Source organism: Homo sapiens (assembly GCF_000001405.40).
Source record: "Homo sapiens chromosome 16 unlocalized genomic scaffold, GRCh38.p14 Primary Assembly HSCHR16_RANDOM_CTG1".
NCBI classification, from domain to species: Eukaryota; Metazoa; Chordata; class Mammalia; order Primates; family Hominidae; genus Homo; species Homo sapiens.
In genome coordinates this window covers 1058083-1069411 of record NT_187383.1, presented here as the reverse complement: position 1 = coordinate 1069411, position 11329 = coordinate 1058083, and positions in this window count along the sequence as shown.

Below are 11329 nucleotides of genomic sequence, written 5' to 3'. Positions count from 1 at the left end.
TGAAATGAAATGAGATGACGAAATGCAACAATGAGAAGAAATGAAATAAAGGATGAAATGATGAGATGAAATGATGAAAGGATGAAATGAAATGATGAAATGAGGAAATGAAATGATGAAATGATGGAATGAAAAGATGAAATGTTGAAATATGAAATGATGAAATGATGACATGAAGTCAAATGATGAAATGATGAAATAAATGAAATGATGAAATGAAATGAGATGAAATGAAATCATGAGATGAAATGATGAAATGAGATGAAGTGAAATGACGAAATGAAATATTGAGATGAAGTGATGAAATGAAATGAAACAATGAAATGAAGTGAAATGAAATGAGATGAAATAATGAGATGAAATGATGAATTGATGAAATGAAATGAGATGAAAAGATGAAATGAAATGAAATGATGAAATGAAATGATGAGATGGAAAGATGAAATGAGATGAAATGAAATCATGAGATGAAATGATGAAATGATGAAATGAAGTGAAATGATGAAATGAAATGAAATGTTGAGATGAAATGATGAAATGAAATGAAATAATGAAATGAAATGATGAAATGATGCGATGAAATGAAATCATGAGATGAAATGATGAAGTGATGAGATGAAGTGAAATGAAATGATGAAATGGAATGATGAAATGAAATGGTGAAATGAAATGAGGAAATGAAATGAAATGATGAAATGATGAAGTGAAATGATGAAATGAAATGATGAAATGATGAAATGAAATGAAAAGATCAAATGGTGAAATGAAGAAATGATATGAAATGATGAAATGAAATGAAGTGATGAAATGAAGTGAAATGATTAAATGATGTAATGAAATGAAATGATGAAATGATGAATTGATGAAATGATCAAATGAAATGAGATGAAAAGATGAAATGAAATGAAATGATGAAATGAAATGACGAGATGAAAAGATGAAATGAGATGAAATGATGAGATGAAATGAAATCGTGAGATGATGAAATGGTGAGATGAAGTGAAATGATGAAATGATGGAATGACGAAATGCAACAATGAGAAGAAATTATGAAATGAAATAATGAAATGAAAGGATGAAATGATGAGATGAAATGATGAAAGGATGAAATGAAATGATGAAATGAGGAAATGAAATGATGAAGTGAAATGATGAAATGATGGAATGAAAAGATGAAATGATGAAATGATATGAAATGATGAAATGACATGAAATCAAATGATGCAATGATGAAATAAATGAAATGAAATGATGAAATGAAATGAGATGAAATGATGAAATGATGAGATGAAAAGATGAAATGATGAGATGAAATGAAATGAAATCATGAGATGAAATGATGAAATGAGATAAAGTGAAATGACGAAATGAAATGTTGAGATGAAGTGATGAAATGCAATGATGAAATGAAATGAAACAATGAAATGAAGTGAAATGAAATGAGATGAAATGATGAGATGAAATGATGAATTGATGAAATGAGATGATAAGATGAAATGAAATGATGAAATGAGATGAAAAGATGAAATGATGAGATGAAATGAAATGATGAGATGAAATGAAATGATGAGATGAAATGATGAAATGATGAGAAATGTTGAGATGAAATGATGAAATGAAATGAAAGAATGAAATGAAATGATAAAATGAGATGAAATGATGAGATGAAATGATGAAATGAAAGGATGAAATGAAATGATGAAATGATGAAATGAAAGGATGAAATGAGGAAATGAAATGAAATGATGAAAAGAAATGAAATAATGAAATGAAATGATGTAATAGATGAACCAAAAATACTTATTCACTTTTTTTCTTGGCATCCTTCTAAGAGTATTTTAGTGAGGTTAATTTCTAAAAATAAATTGCTATTCAATGGCTATACAGTTGGCCTTTGCACCACAGGGGTTTGAACTGTGCACGTCCACTTAGCAAAACCAACAATTCTACATCCTTATCCACACCCTGCCCATGAAAAGGATGAGGATGAAGACCTGTTTGATCATCTACTTCCATTTAATAACTAGTAAATCTATTTTCCTTATGATTTTCTTTTTTCTTTTGTCTGGCATGTTTGTTAAGAATACAGTATATAAGACATATAACATATTAAATATGTGTTAATTGACTGTGTTATTTGTAAGGCTTACAGTAGGCTATTAGTAGTTAAGTTTTGGGGGAGTCAAAGTTATAGTGGATTTTCTACTGTGCAGGGGGCCAGCACCCCAACCTCCGTGTTGCTTAAGGGTCAACTGTACATGTTATTTCCTTTCCTGTAAGAGAAAAATGAGAAGGTCTTTTCTCCAATAAGTGTCTTCAAAATGTAGCAGATTTGAAATGTGTTGGCGCCACCATTTTGCGTCTCATTTTGAAAACTTATTATTTAAAATCGTACTAAAGCCTACCTTACTTTTCCAACCTTAGAAAAAATGTTCCAAAGAAAAGGGGTGAAACCATGCTAGTTTGCCCTGAAATTTGAAATTATCTTTTAAAAATATATTTTGACATTAATTACTTCCAAACTAGAGATCAGTTGCATACAAATGGCAGGTCACCCTAATCCACCCTATGACTGCACTTAGATTCATGAGGGATTGTGCCATCTAGAAAGGGCAGAGAGGAGGAATAGAGTGCTCTGCGTCTTGAAATATAAACATGCACATAGCCACATGCTTTGATTCTGTTGTCACTGTGTACTTACTGCTAGGAAGAGGGCATGTTTGTGTATTTTTATGCAAATTATTATCCAAGTTGTTAATGATTTACGCTTTCAGAACCATATAAAGATATTTTTCCTTTCAGATATAAACTATCTTGCATTGTTCTTCTGATCATATGAGGGATAAATTTGCCTAAATATTCTTCAGACCATAATAGTATGTCCTTATAAATGCCAGTAGCAAGAGTAGAATCAACCACAACTGCCTTAGTAATTATTTAAAGCATGTCTGCCTATAAGTAATTGGCATTTTATATAATCAAGAATATTTGATATAATAATCTCTCAACTATTTGAAACACGGCTCACATGTATTAATTTTTTAAGCAAATATATATATAATATCAGTGTACATGAAACTAAATTTTGGACTTTAGCACAGCTTCTTAGAATCCTGACTTAAATGTCTACAGTAATAGTTGGCTTAAAAAAATTTAGCACACTGTCACTATGATGAAAAAAATTACTATAAAATATTTAAAAAATTGTTCCACCCTAACATTTAGAATATTTTCACATTTGTGGTTAAAACCTATAGTGATTGTTCTTAGAATTTAGATAAAAAATGTTCCAGAAAGATTGAAGAGAAGCACTTTAGTCAATTTTTAGTTGTTGAAGCATGAAGAAATGGCATTTCATTGACATTTTAAAAATTATTCAGATTCCCTCTTTGAATTCAAGAGTTTCAAAGATATCTTATTTTAAAATACCAAAATAGGAATAGGATATGAAGGGCTGGTTATGAGTAATATGATACAATTTTATGAGATGACGAGATTACAATAACAATACCTCCTCTCATAGAATAGCCAGCAAGTCTCCACTAAATAACAGTGCCTTGATTTTATAGATGTTTAATCATGGATATTGAGTTAATGTGAACCATTTGTAGACACAGGAGTTTATTAAAGACTTATATAATATCTTTCAAGTATTTAGAATAGTGTTGAAATTAAGCCTGCATCCCCACGATTTTCAGCGGTGCTGATGCCTAATAAACTCAGCCCCTTGCATGCCAAAATTGGCTTAAAGCCCATCTGTTACCCAAGCTACACTTCAAGCATCAAGGTTCAAAAATGTGATTTTGAATATGCAAGAGTTTGAGGAATTCACTACTCACACTTTCTTGAACAGTCTATCCAAGTGCATCAAGCAAAATGTGAGTAAAGAAATTTTGACCAAAGGATTGATAGTAATGTTGAATACATTTAATAGTAGATAAGATTAAAAGGTGAAAGTGAGGGTGAGAAGAGTGTATGAATGCTTTGTGTTCTGACAAAGAGAATGTAACACCCAGGTCCTACCTGCTTGGATGCATTGCCAGTGCCCACCGTAGGCCATTTTATCCAGGTTTTTAGGTTTTGTCTTGTTTTGTTTGGTTTTTTCCTTTTAAGGAGTGTTAGTCCAAGACCAATAACTCCGTAACTGGTAGATTTGGAAGACTTTAATAGTGCTTAACATTTTGTACATAGCTTTATAACAGTTTTCTTTTTCTTTTTTTTCTGAGAGATTCTTTTCAATATACCCCATCATGGTTGAAATCAAAAATCATTGCTTATTTAAAATCTACAACTGCTGATGTTTTGTAACGTTCGCATTCCAGGTAATTGTTTTTTTGTGCATTTTCTGTATTTTTCTCCATCAGTCTACCTAGACATTTGTTAGATTTAATACTTTAATATTTTTCTGAAAAAGTGAGCTTTTGCATTTTTAAATATATACCCAGTTGCTTTAATTCTGCTTTTTCGTGTACTATTTCCTCGTTTTTTTTGTTTTTTGTTTTTTTTTTTTTTTTTGACACGGAGTCTTGCTCTGTCACCCAAGCTGGAGTGCAGTCGCGTGATCTCTACTCACTGCAACTTCCACCCCCCACGTTCAAGCAATTCTCCCACCTCAGCCTCCCGAGTAGCTGGGATTGCAGATGCATGCCACCATGCCAGGCTAATTTTTGTATATTTAGTAGAGAGTGGGTTTCACCATGTTAGAACAGGCTGGTCTCGAACTCCTGACCTCAGGTGATCCACCTGCCTCGGCCTCCCAAAGTGCTGGGATTACAGGCGTGAACAATGGCGCCTGGCTATCTCCTTCATTCTTTATGTTTATTTTACTGGTTTTATCTCTCTCTCTCTCACTGTTTCTCTCCTTCTCACATTCACTTTGCAGTTGTCAAATAGCCCAGGTGATGTTACAGATTTACTCCTTATAAAAGGAGGCATTACACATTACACATGCATCTTAGTGGCCTTACAAAAGTGTTTGGTTTATTTGTATTGACTATTCACCTTTAAAATATTTCAATATTCATTAAAATAGCTTCCAACCAATATTATTACACTTATGTTTCTAACTTTCATTTTTGTATTGATATCTGCCTTCATTGCTGTTTGTTTAGGAAATATATTCTGTGTCATGTTATTTCCGTGAAAATTGTTTGAATTTGTGGTATTCGTATGGTCTAGAAAATGTTAATTTTTGTAAGTATTCTGTATGAATATGAAAATAACATGAATTATAATATTGATGTTCCTTATATAATATTTGCCCTTTTTAAAATCCACTAGCTTCTTTTAAAACTTACTCTTTTAATTTTTTCTTTTATCTATTACTGAAAGACGTGTGTTTGAAATGTCTATAATATTTGGGGGCTTATCCGTTTCTACTTACTTTCTGATATTTTTGCTTTATATAATTTGACTCTCTCTCTACATACGTGTGTGTCTGTGTGTGTGAGAGAGAGTGTGTGGTTTGTGTGTCTATATATATGTATGTATCAGGCTAATGCACATTTAAGTCATCACATCTTCTTAATAACTTAAAACTTTTATCACACTGGTTAGACTAACTTCTTTTAATAAATGTTTCTAACTTACATTCTATTTTGTCTACATAGCAACTTTTTAAAAAATTATATTCATGTAGTATGTTTGTATGTATATCATATATACACAGTATCTGTATTGTTTGAACTTCAAAGTTTCTGTAAATTTATATATTAGTTGTGTCTCTTGTAACTATGATAGAGACGGATGTTTTAAATTTTGCCAATCTTTGTATTTTAACAAAAACATTGTCTACTTAGGTTTAAGTTAATCTTTGATCATTTATACTTAATTTTGTATTATTAATTTGTTGTGTGTATATATATATATATATAATGTCTCATTTTCTCCTATCACTTTCTGTCTTCTTGTTTTAAAATTATGACTTTTATTTTTATTGTTTTCATAGACACAACAGAGAAATGCATAATGTCCAGTCAATTTATTAAAGTTCCAAAGTCGGTCGCACGCAGTGGCTCACGCCTGTAATCTCAACACTTCGGGAGGCCGAGGCGTGTGGATCACGAGGTCAGGAGTTGGAGACTAGCCTGACCAACATGGTGAAACCCCGTCTCTACTAAAAATACAAAAATTAGCCAGGCATGGTGGCACGCGGCTGTAATCCCCGCTACTCAGGAGGCTGAGGCAGGAGAATTGCTTGAACCTGGGAGGCAGAGGTTGCAGTGAGCGGAGATGACGCCACCGCACTCCAGCCTGGGAGAAAGAGTGAATGAGACTCCTTCTCAAAAAAAAAAAAAAAAAAAAAAAAAAAAAAAAAGTTGCAAAGTCATACCTTTCTGCTCTTGTCAGACAATTAAGGGGTCTTTGAATACTTCAGCCCTAATAATTTCCTTCCTAACATATATATTGCAGTGTTTATCTAATTTTAAATATCCTTTTGTTTCAACACCTAATTTTCTATTTTGATCTATCTGTATATTTACAATATATTTTCCTCTGTGTTCATTCTTTGATTTCAGAACTTCAATCTTTCTGAAGCATGTTTTCAGAGTTTCCTTTGAGTTTCTTTAGTGGAATTCTGCTGGTGGTGTTTTGTTTTTTGTCTCTAAATATGTTATTTAGCCATAGGTTGATGAATATTTTTCTTGGTTGAGAATTTCAGAATGGCATTATTATTCTTAACAAATAATATTGTTTATTTTACCTTTCATGCTTTCAGATTTCAATATGATTAAAGGTAATTTGATTTTTCTAGTGCTAATTGAAATATTTTTCCCTTCCTGATTGTTTACTATTTCTCTAGGAGATATGTAGATGTAGGTTTATCTCCATTGTAGCTTGCTTAGCATGCATAGAAGTTTTGAATATGTGGATTAGTGTCTTACAAAAGTCTAGAGAACTTTCAGCCAAAATACCATCACATATTGTCCCTTCCCAGTTCCCTTCTTCTATGAGAACACTCACTAAACACATGCTACACTTTCTCACTGTATGTTCCATGTCTCTTCATGATTCTGTCCACATTGTGCCTTTATTTAAATTTTCTGTAATGCATTCTGAAATATTTATGAACTCTCACCATGGCCATGTCTAATCTGATGAGTTCATTTTTGAGTTTTTAATTTAAAATGCTATATACAAACTACTTTTCAAATTTACTACATCAATTTTTTAGTCTCCTAAATATATATTCATTTTTTTAAAATTTTTGAAAGCAAATGTGCTTTATAATCTAACAGTGATATTTCTACTAATGAACCTTTGTGGATCTGTTTGTACTCTTTTTCTGCTTTCCTTTCAAATGGTGGAATATCATTTCCTTGCGTACTTAGATGTCTTTGAATGACAAAGATTTATTTTTCTCTGAAAATTATTATTGTGCACTTTTGCATATTAGTAAGAACAAAATTTGCCAAAGAGAATTTGAATTTTTTGTGAGTCTACTAAAGGCACCACCATTCTGGGACCACATTATATTAATTCTTGGCCTAAAGGTGTTTGGACGTATGTTTGGACAGCACATTTAAACAATTTTTAAATTAATTGCTGTAAATCATTAATGATTTTCTTTAAATCTGTCCAATCTCAAGTCATTTTTATTTGCCATTTCCAGGGAATGTGAAATGAGACTAATTTACCTCTGATTCTTCTTTAGACTGAGGATATAAATTTTGGTGCTAGCTTTAGGGAAGAGCTCCTGTGTGATGCCCTATCTTGGGAAACACTATGTATTTCTTTACTGTCCTATGTGATGTATGACAGTAGGAATCTGTACACATTCATTTTGCTACATGTCCGTAGGGCAAAATCAGTTTCAGTGTTTAGGTGTATTTTGTCTGCTCCCTGCATTCCCATAGTTTTGACCTTATATTTTACTCTTTTTTTTTTGTGAACATACCAATGCTTCAATTTTTTTCCAGTAATATAATCAACTATACTATAAGAGAAAAATTTTGATAAAACACAAATTTCATGTTTTCCTACTCTAATTGGTTTTTACGTAAAAATACAGGTAAAATTTATTTGTGCTTTTTTGCTATTATTTTTTGCTATTCTCTGTTTGTCTATGTCTTCACCACATAGACACAATTAGGGAATTTTGTACACTCTTGTGCCAACTGCTTTGATAGGAACAAAATGTATTTCTCGAACTCCTAGGTATAAAACTTAAGTATCCACGATTTAAATTCTTTTTTGCTCACTTCTATTATGTTTCCAGTCTCAATAGAAATCGATGCCAATCCAGAAATACAAGCATTATTCTAATACTTCTCACACATTACTGATATAGATTAAATTTTCTAGATCTCCTTAAATACTATCATTTTTCACTACTTGAATCTTAACTGTTAAGTTCAACATTTTCTGTAATATTAATATATTGTGAAAATTTCCTTACTTTCTTATTTGTCCCAGGTTCAATGTTTTGCAGTCTCTACCTCACCCTGTGAAGCATAAACATTGTACATGCTGTACAAATAATACATCGTTCATGTACTTAGTGATTGCACAATTTTTATTTGGTTGACAATAGCTAATGTTTTCTTCTTCATTTTCTATTTCCTGATTTTTCTTTATTTAGTATATACTACATTGTCATAAAAATAAGAACGTTTTACAAACTAAAGCAAAAGCAACCCTAGGAATAAAATGCACAAATAAAATATATAAACATACGTTTAGATGTACCACGTACCCTTGTAATTTATTTAGACTTTTAATTTTAGTACAATTTTAATTAAAGTCTGTGTTTTATCTGTCATCGTCTTAGTATTTTTTATATAACAAATTGTGTAAATCAAAAAGTCTCAATGTCATTATAAACTATCTTGGCAGAGGTTGATCTCCAAGGAATAATTTCTATCCTAAATTATACCAATCCAAATTTCACTCTACCGTAATTCTTTTAATCAGTTTCAGAGGAATAATAAATTTCAAAATTGTTCAAGGTACTTCTTTTAGTTCAAGTACCTTTTGACAGGTGTAAAACTGTAGACAGACTGATACATACATATTCTAATTGACTCAAAATTATATGGGACCTATTTTAAAATCTAGATTTTAAAATGTGTCAACATACACATGTTCTCCTTGTGAAATAATTGCTTTTTATTCTCTGGATAGAATAATTTAATCTTTAAACCTTCCATTCACTCTTAGAAACAAAATACTACATAAGGATATGCTTATAAAAATAATTCCCAACTAGCTTTTCAGTTCAGAAATATATGTGAAGAATCATCAAACATCTAATGGATTTCAAGGAGAAATGGGTTAGTAATTTATTCCATATGTCTCAAATTTTCCTAGACTCAAGGCTTCCTTTTAAATAATTGTAGGCGTTTAAGAAACCATGTAAACTAAAAAGAAGAAATTGTGACGCTGCCGCTTAGGCTTTTTAAGTCTTTGGACATGATTCAATATATTTTTTAAATTGTATCTTAATTAGACATTGTGAGTTCACCATCTTCCTGTCAATATAGCATCCAAGCTGATTATCATAGATTACAAGTTCAACTATCAACTGTGTTCTGAGAGTCTAAAAAAATAAATGAACATATTTGTTTGGGTATTCTTAAAGCAGGAGTGAGGACACAGTGAAAGTGAGACAAGGAAAAGAGAACAAAATAAAACAGGAAAGATAGAAAAGCCAATACCACACGTGTTAAGAGGTAAGTTCCTGTGTTAGATATCTGGGTTTAATTTTATGGGAAGCTATGTGGGGCATGCCTCAGAATTACATCACTGAATCCAGGGAGATTCTTCTTAGTTACCCTCACCTTTTCTTTCCACTTCATGCCCAGTAACAAGTTCCCGTGCTGCTAGAGAAAGTCCTCAGCTAGAAACTGGTGCAAATTCTGGAGATGAGACCTTGTAGAGTGTTAAGAATGGTTTTCTTCCCAGCAGCTACAGGTAAGGAATAGGGGCTGGGCTATTAATACATCTGCTACAAACGAATAAAGCCCTTATGCTCCTTTTGGTGATCGACAATGTATTTAAAAATATTAGATGATCAAGAAGGGCTGCAGAAAGGAGGAAACAGAAACAAACAGCACACCTCTTGGTTTATTTGTATTCATTTCATCAGTTTCAAGGAAAATATGTTGGGAGTTCCTGGCATAGAGATGTCACAAAGACATGTTTTCAATAGTAGTGCTATCCCTAGGGCAGAGATGACCCAGAGAAAGCCCAAGTGGCTGCTGGAACAAAGTCAGACATCGTGCCACCTGTCCACACTCCTTGGCTCTGCCATCATGCTGAAGATCGCTTTAAAGGACTGGCTTCCCTCCCCCCAAAATGAAAAGAGCACAAACTGAGAAACTGAATGTGGGAGACAGCAGTGGATTATGCTGTTCTCAGGGCTCACCTCAGGTTTGGAAGCATTCTTTCAAATTAACCCATCTCAGGCCATCTGCAGAGAGGAAAGGTGGTACCTAACTTTTTTTCTTGTCAGCATTTGGTAGGGGTGTTTTATTGACCAAATATGTTCCCACAACCTAGTTTTTTGTGAGTAACTAAATATAGTAGAGTTTTAAATTTTATCATCAAAATCTATAGACAATTTTTGATGAAAATAGACTCCATCTCTATGTCCTGCTTTTCTTCTTCTTATTAATTACATTGCTGTATAAAAGAACAAGACTTCAGAATCAAGAATATCTTGTCTCTTGGCATTGAATTTATACAAGGTGCTCTTTCTTTAATGCTGTCTCAAAGGACATATTTTTACTCATTAAAAAGGAAGATCGGAATCTAGTTGTATGCGCTGCTCCAACATATTAATAATTAAAATTAGGAGGTAAATGTGGTCAAAACTATAGAAAGACTGAGATGTCATTTATATTGATTACTGTATAGCATTCTACAAACAGAAATTGTTAAATAAGTTTATATAAATATTTTGTAGCATTTCAAATATTTGAGTGCTTGACGTTTCTCCTCTTCTATGGTTCAGATTATCAATTTGAAGACTTACTCCGCTAGTTAATATGTTTTTAGTCTCGTTCGAGTATTATATAAAAGCAATTTTCAGTTAAATGTGTTCTGCTTACATAAAACATTACAAATTATTGAGGATTTAATTACTTATTCATGTTCCTGTAATGTCTTTAGAAGATTTTCTTATTATTACCTATCAATATATGTATGCTTTGTCAAAGAAAAATCAAACATATATATCATTGAAATTGAAACTTTTTAAAAGTACTTAATTCTATTGAAAAACCACATCCATAGGAACAATTACAATATAATATTGTGAACATGTAAACACATACCCTACGTCTATTTTATGTATAAGCATGTATGATTAAAAATATAGTGAAGAATT